The following is a 21,679-nucleotide window of genomic DNA, read 5'->3' on the forward strand; positions in this document are numbered from 1 at the left end:
ACCTGGGGAATAATATCACTAAGCTCCTCCTCTGTGCTGGCCTTCTGCTAAGCCTTTCTCAACAATACCTCATTTAATCCTCACAACAACCTTCAGAGGTTGTTCCATCTCCATTATGTCAGGGTCCTGAGAACAAAGAAATGTCAGGTTGGGCCTTCCAGGAAGCTGACGCTAAGACAAAATTAGACATACAAAAGACTAATTGGAAGAAACATCTAAGAAGGATAAAGGAGTGAGGGAATAGGAGCAGGCCCAGAAAGTCTCAGACCCTGCTGCAGGTCTGCCACCAAAGAAGAGAGAAGGGGAGGAAGGATTGGGCAGGAAGAGCCTCAGGCTTCGGGACTGTAGTGTCCTCCTGGTGCTCAGTCACTGGTGAGGGCAGCTCAAGAAGAGTGTGACCTCCACGCGAACGCTGCGGTGTAACAGGGAGGGGCTGAAGCTACCCACAGCCCTCACAGGAGGTCCTCTCTTTTTTTTTTTTTTTTTTTTTAGATTTTTTTTGTTGCTGTTTTTTATTTTTATTTTTTTATTATACTTTAAGTTCTAGGGTACATGTGCACAATGTGCAGGTTTGGTACATAGGTATACATGTGCCATGTTGGTTTGCTGCACCCATCAACTTGTCATTTACATTAGATATTTCTCCTAATGCTATCCGTCCCCCAGTCTCCCACCCCCCGACAGGCCCCAGTGTGTGATGTTCCCCACCCTGTGTCCAGGTGTTCTCATTGTTCAATTCCCACCTATAAGTGAGAACATGCAGTGTTTGGTTTTCTGTCCTTGTGATAGTTTGCTGAGAATGATGGTTTCCAGTTTCATCCATGTCCCTGCAAAGGACATGAACTCATCCGTTTTTAGGGCTGCATAGTATTCCATGGTGTATATGTGCCACATTTCCTTAATCCAGTCTATCATTGATAGACATTTGGGCTGGTTCCAAGTCTTTGCTATTGTGAATAGTGCCGCAATAAACATACGTGTGCATGTGTCTTTATAGTGGCATGATTTATAATCCTTTGGGTATATACCCAGCAATGGGTTTGCTAAGTCAAATGGTATTTCCAGTTCTAGATCCTTGAGGAATCACCACACTGTCTTCCACAATGGTTGAACTAATTTACACTCCCACCAACAATGTAAAAGTGTTCCTATTTCTTCTCCACATCCTCTCCATCATCTGTTGTTTCTTGAATTTTTAATGATCTCCATTCCAAATGGCGTGAGATGGCATCTCATTGTGGTTTTGATCTGCATTTCTCTGATGACCAGTGATGACGAGCATTTTTTCATGTGTTTTTTGGCTGCATAAATGTCTTCTTTTGAGAAGCGTCTGTTCATATCCTTTGCCCACTTTTTGATGGGGTTGTTTGATTTTTTTCTGTAAATTTGTTTAAGTTCTTTGTAGACTCTGGATATTAGCCCTTTGTCAGATGGGTAGATTGCAAAAATTTTCTCCCATTCTGTAGGTTGCCTGTTCACTCTGATGGTACTTTCTTTTGCCATGCAGAAGCTCTTTAGTTTAATTAGATCCCATTTGTCTATTTTGGCTTTTGTTGCCCTTGCTTTTGGTGTTTTAGTCATTGAAGTCCTTGCCCATGCCTATGTCCTGAATGGTATTGCCTAGGTTTTCTTCTAGGGTTTTTATGGTTTTAGGTATAACATTTAAGTCTTTAATCCATCTTGAATTAATTTTTGTATAAGGTGTTAAGGAAGGGATCCAGTTTCAGCTTTCTACCTATGGCTAGCCAGTTTTCCCAGCACCATTTATTAAATAGGAAATCCCTTCCCCATTTCTTGTTTTTGTCAGGTTTGTCAAAGATCAGATGGTTGTAGATGTGTGGTGCTATTTCTGAGGAGGAGGTCCTCTCTTAAACCTGACCTGAGCAGCACAATCTCCTGGCTGCCACAAAAAAAAGTCACAAAAATGACAACCTATTATACATGTCATTCTATAAAGTATTTTTTTAACTTAGAGACTTAAGAGAGATGTTTGTTTTTCAAATACGTTCATAAGCGAGATGTTTGTTTTTCAAATATTTATGTGTAATCATTATACACGGCTCTTTACACACTTGTATGACTTTTTTTTCTTTTTTGAGATAGGGTCTTGCTCTGTTACCCAGGCTGAAGTACAGTGGTGCAATCATGGCTTACTGTAGCCTCAGCCTCCCAGGCTCAAGCAGTCCTCCTGCCACAGCCTCCCGAGTAGTTGGGACTAGAGGCACGTGCCATCACGCCTGGCTTATTTTTTGTGTTTTTAGTAGAGATGGGGTTTCACCATGTTGGCCAGGCTGGTCTTGAACTCCTGGCCTCAAGCAATCCACCCACCTCAGCCTCCCAAAGTGCTGGGATTACAGGCATGAGCCACTGTGCCCAGCCCCCAGTTAGGATCTGTCACTGCCTGCCCCACTCCAGCACCGCCAGGGCATCAAACCTCTGGAAGGAGTTTAGCCTGTGAACAGCCAGGGGTCCTGGGGGCTGGAAATGCTGATGGCATGAAATCACCTTAAGGAAGTAATGACACCAAGCCTGGTAACCGTGGTTACACACAATGTGACTGAACAATGGGAGGGAGAGCAGCCCATGAACCTACGACCCAGCTATACAGGTGAATGTTTAGTCAACCAAAATGCATACTCTATTTAAAGAGAAGATTAAAACAAGCTTTTAAAAGTCTATTACACATTACTTGAAAACCATTTATAAAAGGAGTACTATTAAAGGTCCTAAACAAAATGTATGTCCATGATGAAAGCTGCTGAGACAAAAGAAAAGAAAGCCTACACAGATGGCATCTTTGGCAAAATAGGAATAGATTCCAGACAGAGAAAGGAAAACCTCAGGGGCATATTTAAAATCAGAGAATCAAAAATTACTTAATCAGAATTGCAAAAGTTAGAAACAACCCATGTATCCATAAATGTGGGATTGAACAAATTTGCACATTCATAAAATGGGGTTTAAAAAGTTAGGCCACAGGCTGGGCGTGGCAGCTCACACCTGTAATCCCAGCACTTTGGGAGGCCAAAGCGGGCGGATCACTTAAGGTCAGGAGTTCGAGACAAGCCTGGCCAATATGGCGAAACCCCGTCTCTACTAAAAATACAAAAATTAGCTGGACGTGGTGGTGCATGCCTGTAATCCCAGCTACTTGGGAGGCTGAGGCAGGAGAATCACTTGAACCCGGGAGGCATAAGTTACAGTGAGCTGAGATCATGCCACTGCACTCCAGTTTGGTCGACAGAGCTAGACTCTGTCTCAAAAAACAGGCCACAGCACCATCCCATTTGTTGCATGTGTGCACGTATGTTCACTGAGGGACAACTGAAGCATGTTCATGAACACATCAACAGTGGTACCCTCTGGGTGGTGAACTTTCAAGAGGATTTTACACTCTTCTTTATATTGGTCTGTGTTGTTTGGGTGTTTTAAAAAGCATATAACATTTATAAAGCCAAGAAAAACAGTGTGTAAAGTTTTCACTTTGAAAAACAAAATAATCAGAAGGGCACTGAAATGACTCCCAAGGCCAAGGACAATAAAGAGCTAGAAGGAGAACTGCAGTTCAGAGAAGAGGGCCTGCCAGATCTTTTTATGAGCATTTAACAAAGGTAGCAATTATCACTGAGGGCCCATGTGATTCACTAAATCTCATTTCCTCTTGTTTACAGGGTCAGTGGTAATTCCAAAATGTGTATATAGGTGGAACTTACAGGCAGCAGTCTAGTTGGATATTCAGCTTGGGAACTTATGCTGAAGCCATGTTTGCACAGCACCTTAAATAAGACTGCAATGACACCAAGTATTTCTATAAAAGGAAGCAGAGGCTGATGGAAATGATGGGGAATTATAGTCTCCTCGGTGATTCCTTGGCTCTACCAAGGGATGAAGCTAGTCAACAGGAATGTGGTCAACATTCTTGACCTGGCCTCTCCTCCACCCCATCCCAACCCCACAGCCCATCGATCATGTACACCCTTGCCCCACTCTTTCAATGGGTTTAGAAACCAGGATCCCTGAGCCTCTCTGGATGCTTCCCAGTGAACCAGGCATCCTGATATTCACATCCTCATATGTCGTTCTCTCCCACACTGATTCTGGGCTTGGCCATATGACTTTGCTTTGGCCAATGGAACATTACCAAGTATGGTTCAAACAGAGGCTAGATAAGTGCTTCCACATTCAGGCTTGTCCCCTCAGGATGCTCCTTTTGGGGACTCACTTGCTGTGTAAGACCAGGCAAGACAACTGAATGATGAGAAACCATGTGGGGTGAGACCCAGCCCTCCTAGCATCCTGGCTGAGCACCCCATGAGGGACCTTGGGTGAGACCAGCAGAATTGCCTAGTCAAATGACAGAACTAAGAGGAACAACAGAGTGTTGTATTAAGCTACTAACTTTTGGAGTGTCTCCTTAGGCAGCAGTTAATACTGAAGTAGCCTCTGATCCCTATTTCCCTGTAACCTTCACTACCCTCTTTCCTCCTTTCCTCTATGCACTTTAGTTAACCTTGACAATAATACCCCTTCCTGCTCGGTTTGATTGCCATACCCAGGACACCTCCTTAACATTACACTGCTTTAGAGAGTAGCCTCCAACCCTGCGCTTTCAGGGAGAATCCAGGAAATTAGGATCAATGTCATTCACCTAAATTTGAAAGGAATCAAGATAAAGCCACAGGCTAGCCAGGTGTGGTGGCTCAGGGCTGTAATCCCAACACTTTGGGAGGCCAAGGCAGGAGGATCACTTGAGCCTAGGCATTCCAGACCAGCCTGGCAACATAGTGAGACCCCATCTCTACAAAAATTTGAAAATCAGACAGATGTGAGGGCACAGACCTGTAGTCCCAGCTACTCAGAAGGCTGTGGTGGGAGGACTGCTTGAACATGGGAGGTCGAGGCTGCAGGGAGCCATGATCACCACTGCACTCCAGCCTGGGTGACAGAGTGAGACCCTGTCTCAAAAAAAAGAGATAAAACCACAAGGAACTGCTAGTCCACCAACATGATCATTCACTTATTCATGCAATAAATATTTACTGAGCATCTAATAAGTACTGGGCACAAGGTGTTACAGTCATTAAGAACATCCTAGAGAGGACCCTGACATCTACTCATTGAGTCTCACCTAACAAACTGGTGGAATTAATACTCACCATAGCATGTTTGATCCCTTTCTTGTTATACAGAAAAGAAAACCGAGGACGAGAAAAGTAAGTTACTTCTCTGAGCTCATTAAGCTAATCGGTAGCAGAGCCAAGTCAGGACCAGGTTTCCTTTTCATCACAAAGAACAGGTAGAAATAAACAGACACTTCCCAGGATGAACATGGGTAAATATTGGAGTGGCCCCAAGGTCAGAGCTGTGTATAAGCACAAAGGTAGAATGTCCAATCTAGTGGATGCTTATTGGTGCTTTTCCTAGCATCCACTCCTCTCTTCTCCTGCCAACAGTATCCCTATCTGTTGTCTTCAGCCACACAGTTTGGGTAGGAATAACCCACCTCTAGCTGCAGAGGTGGATCTTGGTTACCATAAGCTCATCAGTGTATCCCATCTTTGACCACAGAGACTGGCTTAGGTGTGGGCCTGCAACCCGATCAGGGCCAATGGCACTCCAGGAGATGTTTGCCAGTGCTTCTGGGAAGAGGTGCTTCTGCATGAGCTAGTGAAAGAGACATTCCCCTCTTCACTAAGGTGTGATATAAGGTTACAAGGTCTGGAACTGCTATAACCAGTTGATACCTCAAGAAAAGAACCTGGAATCATCATGCAGGGCCAGAGAGTGAAAACCAGCTGACTGCTGAGAAGAAAGAAGGATCAAACTAGGTCTTTAGGGACATTATTTGAGAGGTCAACTCAAACCTCACCTGAAACTAGTCCTAAACCTAACTTTTCAATTATAGAAGGTGATAATTCCCTTGACTCTTTAAGCTGCTTGAATGAGGTTTTTGTTACCTGCAATCTAAAGATTCCTGAATAATATATACAGTCGGCCAGGTGCTGTGGCTCACACCTGTAATCCCAGCACTTTGGGAGGCTGAGGTGGGCAGATCACTTGAAGTCAGGAGTTTAAGACCAACCTGGCCAACATAGTGAAACCCCATCTCTACTAAAAATACAAAAATTAGCTGGGTGTGGTGGTGGGTGCCTGTAATCCCAGCTACTCGGAAGGCTGAGGTGGGAGAATCTCTTGAACCCAGGAGGTGGAGGTTGCAGTGAGCCCAGGTTGCGTCACTGCACTCCAGCCTGGGCGATAGAGCAAGACTCCAGCTCAAAAAAAAAAAAAAGATACATACACCGACACTTCCAGGTTTACAAAGGACACCTGAATTTCCAGATGGTTAATAGTTAATTGTAATAAACTCTAGGAAGATAATCGCGAAGAGGCAAGAATATGCAGAAAAGAGGCTGATACATTTCAATACACGTAAAGTGCAAGGTAACGTACTTCAGGAAAAAGTGCACACTCATAAAATACAAACTATTCAGGACAACTTGGGAAGGAAACTTTGGCATTACTGTAAAATAGAGGTCAGCCAACTTTTTCTGCAAAGAGCCAGCTAGTAAATATTTTGAGCTTTACAATCCATCAAGTCTGTCGCAACCACTCAGCTCTGCAGGTGCAGTACAAAAGCAGCCACATCAATATACCAATGAATGCGTGTGGCTGCACCCAAATACAACTGTATTTATGGACACTAAAATCTGAATTCTGTATCATTTTCACATGTCACAAAATGTTATTCTTCCTTCGACTTTTTTTCAACTATTCAAATATGTAAAAGCCCTTCTTAGAACTTACAGGCTGTATGAAAACAGGCCACAGGCTGCGTTTGGCCTGCAGACCACAGGTTGTCTTCCTCTGCTATAAAGGGTTTCCTAAAATTAATGATGCTGGGGTTGGAGGAGGTGGGGGTAGGGTCAGGGAGCACTCATGCATTGCCATTACTTACCCTGCTGTAATACTAGAAATATTTTCTGTGTCAAATCTCTGCTGATAGGATTGAACAGAAAGTAACTGTAACACTCCACTATTTCTAAAGTAATTTACATGAGTGCTAATGCATCCACTTGCCAATGCATAGAGTTCAGCTGGACTAGTAAATGAAAGTTGAGCAAATGTTATAATTTTTATATCTAATCTGCACAATCGTCTGTGCATGTGGGCCACAGGAACCACAGTTTTCTTTCATTACTCTGAAAAACTGACAATTAGCTGAGATTCAATTTTTGTTTATGTTGTTTTTTGTTGTTGTTGTTATTGTTGTTGTTTTTTGAGATGGAGTCTTGCTCTGTCGCCCAGCCTGGAGTGCAATGGTGCAATCTTGGCTCAGTGCAACCTCTGCCTCCTGGGTTCAAGTGATTCTCCCACCTCAGCCTCCCAGGTAGCTGGGACTACAGGCACCCACCACCACGCCCGGCTAATTTTTTTGTATTTTTAGTAGAGACGGAGTTTCACCATGTTGGCCAGGCTGGTCTCAAACTCCTGACCTCAAGTGATCTGCCCGCCTCGGCCACCCAAAGTGCTGGGATTACAGGCGTGAGCCACCGCACCTGGCCGAGATTCAATTTTTGACATGTGTCATGCAATGAACAGCGAATATCTCTGTCTAGCCACATGCTCAGGCCTTCTTTTGTTCATTCAACAAGCTCAAAGAGCCAGACATTGGGTAGGTCACTGGAAGCAGTCATGAACGACACAATTAGAGTCTCTGCTGTTATGAAATGAACTGATGAGCATGGGAGAGAGGTTATTTAACAGTCCATCCTCAGCTGAGTAGCCAAAGGTTCTTTTAAAATAGACAAGGCTGGGCGCAGTGATTCACACCTGTAATCCCAGCCTTTTGGGAGGCTGAGTTGGGGGGAATGCTGGAGGCTGGAAGTTGGAGACCAGCCTGGGCAACATAGCGAGACCCTGTCTCTTCAAAAAATTAAAATTTAAAAAATTAGCCAGGTGTGGTGGTGCCCACATGCAGTCCTAGCTATTAAGGAGACTGAGGCAGGGGGATCACTTGAGCCCGGGAGTTCAAGGTTACAGTGAGCTATGTTTGTGCCACTGCACTACGGCCTGGGTGACAGAGCGAGACTTTGTCTCTAAAAATAAATAAATAAAACAAAAAACAAACGTCATCTTCCTCCTCTCCTGAAAAGCCCCCATTGCTCCCCATCTACAAGGCTGGGGGTGATCTGCAATCTACCCATGTTCCCAGCCACACTCCTCTCCCAAGTGCTTACTCCACTCCTCCCAAACTGGCTTCCTTGCTCAAACACTAAGCCCCCGCCTAAGAGCCTTTGCACTTGCTGTTGCATTCACCTGGAAAGCTTTCTCCCTCCCTAGATACCCACATGGCACGTTCACTCAGCTTCTTCAAGTCTTGCTCAACTGCCACTTTCTCAATGAAGTCTTCACTTCCAAGTCCATTAAAAATTACAAGCCCTTTCCCTGTCAGTTCCTATCCTCTCTGTTTTTCCCCTTCACATTTATCTACTTTGAAAGGTAGCTCATAATTGGCCAGGCATGGTGGCCCACACCTGTAATCCCAGCACTTTGGGAGGCTGAGACAGGCAGATGACTTGAGGTCAGGAGTTCGAGACCAGCCTGGCCAACATAGCGAAACTCCATCTCTACTAAAAAATACAAAAAATCAGCCACACCTGTAATCCCAGGTACTTAAGAGACTGAGGCAGGAGAATTGCTTGAACCTGGGAGGCAGAGGTTGCAGTGAGCCAAGATTGCACCACTGCACTCCAGCCTGGGTGACAGAGCAAGACTCTATGTCTTAAAAAAAAAAAGAAAAAAGAAAATAGCTCATAATTGGCCAGTATGGTGGCTCACGCCTGTAATCCCAGCATTCTGGGAGGCCGAGATGGACAGATCACCTGAGATCAGGAGTTCGAGACCAGCCTGGCCAATAGGGCGAAACCCCATCTCTACTAAAATACAAAAATTAGCCGGGTGTGGTGGCATGCGCCTGCAGTCCCAGCTACTTGGAAGGTTGAGGTGGGAGAATCGCTTGAACCCGGAGGCAGAGGTTGCAGTGAGCCGAGATCGTGCCACTGCACTCCAGGCTAGATGACAGAGTGAGACTCCGTCTAAAAAGAAAAAGAAAATAGCTTATAATTTATTTTGTTTTTTGTATATCTCTGCCTATTAGAACATAACTCCTTCAGGGCAGAACTTTTGTCTGTCTTGTTCACTGCTGTACCACCAGTGCCTGGAATAGCACTTGATAAATAGCTATTGAATGAATGAATAAAAATACGGGACAAGAAATGTGATGATCATTAAGTAAAGGCATGTAGGAGAATACTGAGGAGAGATGTCTAATCCAGTTGTGGAAGTTAGGCAGACCACAACAGGGTGAGAAGATGTTCCAGGGCAGGTGTGGTGGCTCATGCCTGTAATTCCAACACTTTGGGAAGCCAAGCTGAGAGTATCACTTGAGCCTGGGAGTTCGAGACCAGCCTGGGCAACACAGGGAGACCCTATCTCGAAGAATAAAGAAGAGAGAAGACAGAAGGGAGACAGGAGGAAGAAGAAAGAAGAAAGAAGGAAGGAGAAGGAGAAGGGGAAGAAGAAGAAAAGAATGTTCGGGACAGAGACCCAAAGTAGACACATTCCCTGCTCTCATGGGCACACTGAGAAACAGAGCAGGGAAAAGTCCCTGCAATGAAAGAGATGTAATACTGGGTGAGTTTTTTGTCTTACTATAGCCCCCTCACAATATGTGTCCAGCCTGCCCTCCTCTCCCCACCCTGCCCTCCTCTCTCCACCCTGCCCTCCTCTCCCCAGTGCTGGAGGGCTGTGATCCCCCACCTCCAAGTCCAGTCCTGCTCTCAGCTCTCAGAACAGACTTGACCCGGGAAAGTAAGGCTGTAGGTAGCTTCAGTGCCCCTCTACAGAAACCAGCATAGGGATTCTCCTTCTCTGGGCAGAGGCCAGGGAGGGGACCTGGCACTGGAGCCCGGGTTCTGATAACCAGACTTCAGCTTCATTCTCAGTGCCTGGAGCCTCATCTTGGCAAATTCCCAGCACATTTGAACTCCAGACCAGCCTTGGCATGACCAGTGTTATCAAAAAGCCTCTTCCATTGAAAGTAACAGGAAACCCAACTAAACTGGCATAAGCACTATGAAGATTTATTGGCTCAAAAAACTATACTGGTCAGGCTGGTCTGGTAGGGCTGGCCTCACACCAGGGTTCAAATGACATCATCGGGACTATGTTTCCACCTCTCCAGTCTATCTTCAGCTGGGTTGGCTTCATTCAGCCCCAGGCTCTTCCAAGGCTCCCAACCTCTGCCAGCAGCTTAAGGCTTTCAACTGGGCTGCTGCACCTCCCACCCAACCTTTTCCCAGATTGAAGCTTGGGTGGAAAGAGGGCCCCTGCCTCTCTCCCACCAATCCCAGAAAAGTCCCACTGCATTTCACAGGCTATGGCTGGACCACAACCCCCTCCTTAAACCAATCACTCTAGCCTCCCTTCCCCATCCTGGGAAGAGGATTTGATCATTTGATTGGCCAGGTGAGGGTCATGTCTTCCAGTCCTGGAGCTGTGAGTGGAACCTCACAGAGAGCACGTGGACTGAGACAAGGAGAAAACACAAATCTGGGCTTGAAACGAAAGGAAGGGTAATGGCTGCTGGGGATGGGAGACAATAACCTCTTACGTGAAGTTTATAGTTCTAAAGCAAGACCTTGAGTAACTCAGCCAAACAGTTCAATAATAGTCCTTGATGGAAGAATGTTTTCCATCTTCTGCCACACTGTACAAAATTCAAATACATGTAGTGAAATCATATGTTTTACAGTGAAATAAAAATTAAAGATGTACAAAATATGCTTAAACCACTGAAAATGTGAGCGCCTAAATGATGATAATGATTTTTCTACAAAATTTGCTTTCAAGATTAAAAAAAAGAATGCAATGCTATTAACACACACCTTTAAAAGAAACTGCAGCATAAAATTAGGGAAGGGAAAACAGAGATGAATTACTTAAACTATATTTATTATAAAAACCCATCTCAATAGACTGCAAAGGCTGAATTCCTCTTTGGCAATGTAATTTTGCTCTGTCAAATACTTCACGAAAGTGGATCACAGGTTAGAGTCAAACAGTGCTTGGTTTTGTTGAATATTTTAATATTTTATTGTATTTATTTTTTTTGAGACAGAGTGTCCCTCTGTCACCCAGGCTGGAGTGCAGTGGCACGATCTCAGCTCATTGCAACCTCCGCCTCTTGGATTCAAGAGGTTCTTATGCCTCAGCCATCCAAGTTGCTGGGATAACAGGCACACACCACCACACCTGGCTAATTTTTGTATTTTCAGTGGAGACCGGGTTTCACCATGTTGTCCAGGCTGGTCTTGAACTGCTGGCCTCAAGAGAACCACCTGCCTTGGCCTCCCAAAGTGCTGGGATTACAGGTGTGAGCCACCACACTCAGCCTTCTTGGTTAAAAAAAAAAAAATTAATAGGCCAGGCGCGGTGGCTCACGCCTGTAATCCCAGCACTTTGGGAGGCCGAGGCGGGTGGATCCCAATGTCAGGAGATTGAGACCATCCTGGCCAACATGGTGAAACCCCGTCTCTACTAAAAATACAAAAAAATTAGCTGGGCATGGTGGCGCATGCCTTGCAGTCCCAGCTACTCGGGAGGCTGAGGCAGGAGAATGGCTTGAACCCAGGAGGCGGAGGTTGCAGTGAGCTGAGATCGCACCACTGCACTCCAGCCTGGTGACAGAGACTCCATCTCAAAAACAAAAAAAAATTAATATAGCAATCTCATATAATTTTTTAAGCTGAATTTTTAAGTTAAGCCAATATTTTTGTCCATCTGAAGGAATGCATCACATATATTGTTTAGAAATCAACTATCCAAGCAATTTCTAACATTAAAGAAATACTTGATTTGATAATTGTTCTGCCCCCTTAACTACTCCCTGCTAAGCATCTGAAGGCGGGAGAGGAGGTTAGAGGAAGGTCTGAGTTTTTTTAAAGCCTGAGAAACTGGGACTTCCCTGCATTTCAAAGCACAAAGGCCTATTATTCAAGGAAAGGGGCCAGAGAGGCAGAGAATTCAATTCTGTAGGCCACCGTGTACTTCTTCCTTTCTCCTGCCAAATCAAGGCTCACACCAATCCCAAGTGGACCGCAACAGGGCAACCCTCTGAAAAGTGAAAGCAGTCGAGGAAAAAGAAAAAGGGGCCAGCCAGCAGCCGCGTTCTTCCGAGAGCCTGGGGAGCACTCATTATATGTGAATAGAGCCAGTGAAAAGCGCCTTTGCTCTGCAGCCTTGGAGGGGCCACCAGCTAACGTAGACTCCATTCACGCTCCCATTGTAAATTCCATCTGTGTGCTATCACTTCCTGACCCAGAAACAGGGAAATATTTCGGCCGTAAATTTCCCTAGGAGCTGGCCTGGCTACAAAATCGTTCCCTGTGAAGTTCACCGGCTCCATGAAGATTTGGTAAAGGTTTTTAAGATCATGTTTGCCTGCAATTCCTTCTCATTTACTAAAGGGTCTTCTCCCCATCTCACTGTTTTCCTTCCAGAAACTAGATCCTCAATGAAACTGGGATAGCTATGCCAAAAGCTCTGGGTAAAATCAGAAGCTCTCTCCTGTCTTCAGAGTAAAAGCTTAAAATGTGTGGCTGGCCCAAAGCTAAAGCTGGTCAAGTGTCAATCAGTAAGTTGGCTATTTAAATCTAAGAATAAGTCTGAGAAACTGAGAGTGTAAGAAGAGAAAACAGAAGTGATGTAGAAGGGAGGTTCTCAAACTCTAGTATGCATCAGAAAGACCTGAGAGACTTTCCAATTCAGTCACTCCAGGACAAGGCCTGAGAATGTGCATTTCTAACAAGTGCCCTCTGATGCTGATGCTGCTGGTCCAGGGACCACACTTGAAAACCACTGATACGGGGAGTGACTCCATCAGGCCTCACACATCAAGCAAGACATTGGACATATTCAAAGGCTCAACAACATCTGGATTCAGACTCAGTAAACATATTGTGGTACCCACCTATGGATACAGGCTACATGCTTTCTACAGGTGCTGGTTATGGTTCTTAATCTACTGCACAGTTGTACACAAAATATAACATTTCAATTTCATTTTTAGCCCCTATCCGACTAGAGTGGCAAATATATAACCTCCGCTAATTTGAAATCTTCTTCCCACTTTCAGGGAATGCCTCCAGGTTCTCGGTGTTTATGGAGAATCATGGGAGGGAGAGTGGTGCATTCTGGTCCTTGCTGTTGTCTATCCATGCAGTTGTCTGTTGAAATTGTCAGACAATTTCATCACCTTGTCTGGCCCATAGGCACCAGTCCTCACTCATCACCACCGACATGTCCCTCACCTCCAGCCCAGCACCCTTTCTGGGCCACACTGGGAACCCAGAATCTACCGGCTTACTACCCAGCCATGTCCTTTCTGCTCCACAGGGCTCCACACAGAAAGCAGGGCACAGGGCCCCTCTCTCTGGGGCTGGCTGTATATCTGCTTTCATCACACCTCCTCTTTCCTCCTTCCCCCTGCTACCTACCCCGCTTCTCTGCCCAGAGCAGTGGAATGTTTGCTAGTCTGAGGGGGACTCTCTTCAACCCCCTTGCCCTCACTTATTTTGGCCACATGCAGGTGCCCTCAATAGTCCCCTGAGAACTTAAAGCTTTTGAAAATCAAGCCAGGGCCAGGTGCCGTGGCTCATACCTGTAATCCCAGCACTTTGAGAGGCTGAGGCAGAGGATCACTTGAGCCCAGGAGTTTAAGACAAGCCTCAGTAACATAGCAAGACCCCATCTGTACAAAAAAAAAAAAAATTTAAATAGCCAGGCATAGCAGCATGTGCCTGTAGTTGTAGCTACTTAGGAGGCTGAGATGGGGGGATCGCTTGAGCCTGGGAGGTCGAGGCTGCAGTGACCTGTGATCACACACCTGCACTCCAGCCTGGGTGACAGACTGAGACCGCATCTCAAGAAAAAAAAGAAAGAAAAGAAAAGAAAGAAAGAAAATCAAAGCCAGGAAGATCCTTATTTTGTTTTTTCTGATCTGCCATTTTCTTCCCTGAGTCAATAAGCACAGAATGGCTTGCCTGCTTGAGGGGACAAAACTGAATAAAGGGAGATGCTTAAAAGGGGAAAAAATACATTCATTTTAAATACATACACACACATATTAGTATTTTAGAATTATTATCTTGCAATGCCTGCATTCTCCTGTTTAATCTTCAAGGCAATCCTGTGAAGTAGATGTCATTCACTCCATTTTACAAATAAGAAAACAGGCTCAGAGAGATTAAAAAGCCTTGCCTAAAGTCACATAATGCCAAACCCAGCGATGCTGGTTCTGAATTCAAGGCTCATTCCTTTGTACCTTAGCTTGTCCTCCAAAAGAGAAAGGGACAGAGGGAGGCCTGTCAGTGCAGAAGGTATGACCCAGAATACTCATCAGGGGATGTGTGTTAGGAAATCATTTGGGCCAAGAGATACTATTAATTCAAGATGTGGACACAAGGCATAGAAATCAGTCCTCAACTGACAACTGCACAGCAGATGACAGCAAGGGCCAGAATGGGTGGTAACAGGCAGAGGAAAAAAACCAAGAGACGGGATTCAAGGAAAGTAAAAGTTAACAGGTATGTAAACACCAGGGACTAAGAAGTCAAGAGGTTCAAAGTCAAGGTCGCAGGTCAAGGAGTAATCATTTCCTGACTATGAGAGACAGGTAAGGAGTGCAGAAAATTAACTCCAAAACCAAAGCGATCTGAATCCCTCAAATTCTCACTAGATTAGGAGTCAGGAATCCAGGGAGTTATGGAAGTAAATCAAAGTATTGGCAGTCAAGAGCTAGACCTTATACTAGAAAGGGTGTGTTTGCCCTTTAGTTGTCCTCCTGGGGCAGAGACTCAGAGTGTCTGCGGTTGAGCAGGAACATGACTGTGAGAGTAAGAAGTGCAAAGCCAGGACAGGCTCAGGGGAGCAGGGAGCAGAGAAAGCCCCGAGTCAAAAGCATGTCACCGTGCACAGGGAACATCTTTTGTTTTTGTCTAGCAGCCTTCTTCTGAGAACAAAGCTGGTCTCATCCTTTTGAGGAACAAATTCCCCCAACCTAGTTCATGCCAACTGGCTGGGTCTGGATTCCCTGTCACATGGATTGGCTCAGGGGTGAGTGTGTGACCCAATGCAGGCTAATCAGTGCCAATCTTGGTGCTTTCCTGGAGCTATGGAAAAAGAGGAGACATGGCCCTCTGGGCTTGTTAACCTGGTAAGTAAACTTGGAGCTGGCATGTCCATCCGGACCATCTCCCAGGTAGAGCTTCCCTGAGAATAAAGCCAACAGAGAAGGAAGTAGGGCTAAAATATAGAGGAAAACTGATATATATGGTTTGGATCTGTGTTCCCCACCAAATCTCAATGTCAAACTGCAGTACCCAATGTTGGAGGTGGGGCCTGGTGGGAGGTGGTTGGATCATGGAGGTGGATTTCTCATGAATGGTTTAACACTATCCCCTTGGTGCTGGTTCTTGTGATAGTGAGTGAGTTATTCTGAGATCTGGCTGTTTAAAAGTGTGCAGCACCTCCCCCACCTCTCTCTCTTGCTCCTGCTCCTGCCATGTGAGACGACTCGCTCCCCCTTTGCTTTCCGCCATGATTGGAAGCTTCCTGAGGTCTCCTCAGCAGCAGAAGCTGCTATGCTTCCTGTACAGCCTGCAGAACCATGAGCCAATTAAACCTCTTTTATTTACAAATTACACAGTCTTAGGTATTTCTTTATAGCAGTGCAAGAACAGACTAATACAGAGACCGAGAGTGAGAGACTGTATCCTAACAACACTCCTTGAGGCCCTGGATCCAGTCATGACAAATTGATCACCTTGAACTTCTCAGTTAAGTAAACCAATAAATTCCCTTTTTGAGTATCTGTCACTTTCTGAAAGAGACCTTGCTAATGCACTATACATAAAAATTTACTCTGAATAATGAAAATATGTTCACATTATATATATATAGTGTGTATATACAGACAGTATATGTAATATATACATTTTTTAAAGTAGAATCTAATTACTGCCCTTTGAAAATGAGCCAGACTTAGTGACTTACTTCTAAAAAATAGAACGTGGTGGAAGTAATGCTTTGTTACTTCTACTTGCCTCTCACTCTCCTGAGATGCCAGCTTTTGGAACCAAGGTGTCATATGACAAGGAAGCCCAAGTCACATGGAGAAAACACATGTGGGTGTTCAGACAACAGCCCCAGCTAGCCCTCAGCCAACAGTCAGAATCAGCCACCAGACAAGAGAGTGGACAAGCCTTCAGAGGACTTCAGCCCCAGCCTTCAAGTCTTCCAGTGAACATGACCCCAGGCATGGTGGAACAGGGATGGCCATTCTGCTCTGCTGTCTGAATTCCTGACCCATAGAAATCATGAGTGATCATAAGTGATTTTTACTATTTTTAAGCCACTGTGTTTTGAGGTAGTTTGTTATATAGCAATAGATAACTAATACAAGGACAAAACAGTGAATGGTAATTAGCTCAAGTGCTAACTCTGACCAACCGATAGTTGTCTGGAGAAGGATGCATCAGGACTGAGTGAAAAAGAGAAGATGAAATTCAGTTAATGATGTCTGCCATGAGCATAGAAGTGGGAAGTGACAGCAGTCGGGTTTGTCATTTGTTGGTGCTGGTCTACAACCAACCACAAACCCAGATAAAAATGTTCAAAGATACTATGCAGCCACGAAAAAGAATCAGATCATGTCTTTTACGGGAACACGGATGGAGCTGGTGGCCATTATCCTCAGCAAACTAACACAGGAACAGAAAACCCAATACCTTATAAGTGGGAGCTAAATGAGGAGAACACATGGACACATAGAGGGGAATAATACCCACTGGGGCCTATCAGAGGGTGGAGGGTGAGAGGAGGGAGAGGATCAGAAAAAATTTTTGGGTACTAGGCTTAGTACCTAGGTGACAAAATAATCTGCACAACAAACCTCTGTAACACAAGCTTACCTATGTAACAAAACTGCACACATACCACTGAACCTGAAATACAACTTAAAAAATAATAATAATAATAATAATAAATGTTTAAAGAAGGAAAGGAAGAAAAAGGCAAGTAAGTAGGATAGGAGAGGAAGCACTGATCTTGGAGATAAGATACCAGGGTTCAAATCTTAGCTACTTACCAGCTATGGAAACTTAGGCTACTCATTTAGCCTCTCTGGGCCTCAGTTTCCTCAGCTGTAAAATCGTAGATTGTGGTGTGAGTTCAATTAAATGAGATAATGATACCAATGTCTGGCAGTAGGCACTCAACAAAGGGGAGTGTGGTGGGAGTTGTGGCCGAACCTCAGCAAGATTTGGGTACGTGAGATGGATTTAAGGTGGATTGGACTTTCCAAGTGCGTTAAGTGGCAGCACACAAGGCCTTCCCAAAGTGGGTTCCATGAAAGACTAGGTCTGTAGGATGTTAATAGCATGTTCTATGAAACCCTGGTGATGTGGGATCTTAATACAGGGGTCCCCAACCCCTGGGCCGTGGACTGGTGCCAGTCCCCGTGGCCTATTAGGAACAGGGCTGCACAGCAGGAGGTGAGTGGTGGGCAAGGGAGCATTACCACCTGAGCTCCACCTCCTGTTGCATCGGCGTGGCATTAGATTCTCACAGGACTGTGAACCCTATTGTGAACTGCACATGCAAGGGATGTAGGTTGCATGCTCCTTATGAGAATCCAATGCCTGATGATCTGGGGTGGAACAGCTTCATCCTGAGACCATCCCCCCATCACCCCCCACCGTCCATGGAAATTGTCTTCCACAAAACGAGTCCCTGGTACCAAAAAGGTTGGGGACTGCCATCTTAATAGATTAAAACAAGTAAAAAATTGTTTACATACACTTACCATACGGCCCAGCAATCCCATTCCTCAAGAAAGTGAAAATTTAAGTTCACACAAACACCTGTACGTGAATGTTTCTAGCAGCTCTATTCATACTCACCAAAGCCTAGAAATATCCTTCAACAGGATAAGCAAATTTTGGTATATTCACACTATGGAATATGACTCAGCAACAAAAAAGACCTAACTATTCATACATATAACACAGATATGTCCCAGAGGCATTCCCTGAGTGAAAAAAGACAGTTACAAAGGCTACATGGTGTATGATTCCATCTGTATGTCCAAAATATGACATTCTTGGAAAAAAAGAAAACTACTGTGGTGGAAAACAGATTCATAGTTGCCAGAGGTGGACAGGGAGGGGTGCTGACTATAAAGGGACAGCACAGGGAGTTTTGGGGTGGGATGAAACTGTTCTGTATCTTGACTGTGGTGATGATTACATGAATCTGTGTATGTGTGCAATTTTATGGAACTATATACCAAAAAAAGTTAATTTTACTGTGTATTACTTTTCAAAATAAAAGGAAGACTTCATGTAAATTTGGAAAATACTGTGTTAAAGTGAAATAAGAATCTTTATCACAGGACATATCAGAGCCTTGAATATACCATTTGGTATCTATGATTCTCAAAGACTGGCAGGGAATATGCAGCGTTTCTCTAATTTATTTGACAAGGAACTCTTCTTTCTCAGAACATCTCGAAGGCCTAGAGTTTTCTAGACTCACTCTGGAAGATTCAGGTCTAGTAGCAGGTATGAGCTGGTGTCTTGATCTCTGGGATCCAAGGAAAACTAAAATGGTAGGCTGTGAATCAGATACTACTTAACAATGCAGTCTCTGTGCCCTAAACAAATTCTGGGATGAGAAGGTACAGATGATAAAAAGTAATGACCAGTTCTGGTTTTCTTCTTTATTAAATTTTATGAATAATGTATCTAAGTACAAATACACACAAATGTCTCTCCCTGTGTATCTAACACACACACACACACACACACACACACACTTATTCATATATGCATACCACTGAAAAAAAGGTTTAAATTATGATAAAAGAAAAACTTCAGCGGAATTAAATTTAAAAGAGTTTGAGCAATGAACGATTTGCGAATTGGGCAGCCCCCAGAATCACAACAGATTCACAAAGACTCCAGGGGTGCCTCATGGTCAGAATAAATTTATAGACAAAAAAGGTAAAGTGACGTACAGGAATCAGAAGTGAGGTACTGAAACAGTGAGGTTGGTTACAGCTCAGAGTTTGCCTTATTTGAATGGAGTTTGAACATTCAGCAGTCTATGAGTGGTTGAAGTATGGTCACTGGGATTGGCCAACACTCAGCTATTGTTTCAGGCGCATACTACTAAGTTAGGTTTTCAATTTTGTCTGACTATTAAGCTAGGTTACAGTTCATCCACAAGGACTCAAACATAGAAATACAGAGTCCTTCTAAGGCCACATTTAGTTTGCTTTAACAATTCCCCCCTTTTGGTCATTTTCTCAATTTTGAGAGATTGACCAAAACCTCATTAATTGATAACTACTATCACTATTGTAAATGTACTTACATGGTTTTGAAACCCACTGGGAAACAGAAGAGCAGTGGGTTTTCCAAGGAAAGAATAAAGACTGAGTAGAAGCTACCTCCCTATGCTGGAACATCCTGTTTACAGGACAAAAACAAAACCTGATCTGTTCTAGGATCTATGTTTCTTTAAAGCCTTAGTTTGATTATGTCACATTTAACACGAGTGACTTCATTTTAGTTTGGTTTCGTTTGTCGGGGCCTAGTGCATGAGCTCAGTGCAAAATAATGGCCTCTCATAATTTTGTTTAGAAAAATTCCCCCTTTTGGGCTGGGTGCAGTGGCTCACGCCTGTCATCTCCAGCACTTTGAGAGGCCAAGGTGGGCAGATCACGAGGTCAGGAGATCGAGACCATCCTGGCTAACACGGTGAAACTCCGTGTCTACTAAAAATACAAAAAATTAACTGGGCGAGGTGGCAGGCACCTGTAGTCCCAGCTACTTGGGAGGCTGAGGCAGGAAAATGGCATGAACCCGGGAGGCGGAGCTTGCAGTGAGCCGAGATCGCGCCACTGCACTCCAGCCTGGGCGACAGAGCCAGACTCCATCTCAAAAAAAAAAAAATTCCCCCTTTTTGGCCAGGTTCTCACTTAGGTGAGAGTGTAACCAAAACTTAGGGCCTTAGCACCACTCTCAGTTACCGTCATTTTGGGTTTCCAGTCCCAGCATGTCATTCATAGGGTACAATGTCCTCATGGTCGCACATTTCTTTCAGTTTTTGTCATTCCACTTGAAGAGAGACTACTTGACGTTCTAGAGATGGCTGCATGCAAACATTTAAAACCTTTTAGAGAACAGAGAGCACTAAGGAGGCTATTGTTATGACTATCGGGAGGATAATACCAAGAGTTTGGAGTATGCTCCTTACCCAGGGTCCCCATAAACCAAACCACATAAAGTTAAATAGATTAAAGAATGAGCTAGATAAAGAGTCTATTCACTTGACTGAGTGGTCTTTTCATTAATCCCATAAAACTGAATTTTTATAATCTACATTTGATGTATTTCTCCATAGGCCACAAGTGTCAGCAGCTGCACATGTACTTTTCTGTTTAGTCAATTCTATTATTTAGCATAACTTTCACATAAGAATTTAAAGTCTGTTATGTATGATGGCCTTTAAAGTAGAATTTGCTGTGGAGGCTATTATGAAGGAGACATTTCTAATTATTGCCTCTTTCATCCTAAATCCTGGGAAAAGGGCCTAACAAATGATGTCCTTCTAGACGAGTGAAGGCCTCCTGGCAATATTCTCTTTAATCCATGATGTGGGTTAAGAGGTGTTTTGACTGATTATGAGGCAACGTATGTACCACTAAGGTTTCTCACCTACATTGGGCCTTCATCTTTTATCTATTAAAGTATAAAGTTATTCATGTATAAGGCTGGCTGCAAAATCATTCACAAATAAAACTATACCCTATAAGTGTACATAATAGACCCCTTTTTCATTTCTATTGTTCATAGAGGCATAAACAGAGAAAAAATATTCAAGGATAAGAATCTCATGATAGCAGAAGTCTTGATCCATTCTTGTGGGGAAAAGCTGTTCACAACAAGGATGCCATCTCCTTCTGGGGAGAAACTTTCCTGGTTAGTTTTACCTTAAGGGTTCCAATAGGTGTACAGTTCCAGGAGTGTGGAGGGACCTTTCTCAGCTGTGAGATTATGAACCCAATGTTCAAGGCTCCAAAGTTTTGCTGTGGTGTGGATGGTAAGGACAGTCTTTCTCTGATGTTCTCAGAAGATCCAATCTTTGGGTTCTAGATTGTAAAGGGATTGTTATCAGTGAACCATAAAAAGCTTTATTTACCTGGTGAAAATACACTATAGCATAATAATCTACTGTTATAACAACAGCCCTCTTGCATGGGAAAGCTTTTATACAACCAGAAAACATGCACTGAAAATGACAATTGAATGAAATCCCTTTATAAATGTTTAAATGGACCATCAGGTACTCAAATGTACCTAAAGTTTTGACTGTCTTCCCAGGTATATGGAACCAAACATTGGTTTTAAACTATTTCCACAATGTATAAGTCACCACATCAATATATTCAGTTTGGATTATTTTATCTTTTCCATGGCGAGTCATGGAATGCAGAACCTTTAATAACAAAAGCTTTAAGGACTTGGGAAGGATAAGGTGGCTGTCCTGGTTCTTC

The 21,679-nt window shown here is 43.9% G+C and overlaps 1 protein-coding gene across 1 annotated transcript in view; it reads right to left on the bottom strand.

Annotated features, from left to right (window-relative positions):
* Positions 1–21,679, bottom strand: part of SRGAP3 (SLIT-ROBO Rho GTPase activating protein 3) — a 382,437-nt gene that overhangs the window by 324,304 nt on the left and 36,454 nt on the right. The window contains exon 3 of the mRNA XM_024453843.2: positions 21,116–21,274. The gene's annotated coding sequence lies outside the window, so the exon portion shown is untranslated. The remainder of the gene's footprint in view (positions 1–21,115; positions 21,275–21,679) is intronic.

The sequence above is a fragment of the Homo sapiens genome, chromosome 3 (genome assembly GCF_000001405.40).
Source record: "Homo sapiens chromosome 3, GRCh38.p14 Primary Assembly".
In the NCBI taxonomy this organism is placed as follows: domain Eukaryota; kingdom Metazoa; phylum Chordata; class Mammalia; order Primates; family Hominidae; genus Homo; species Homo sapiens.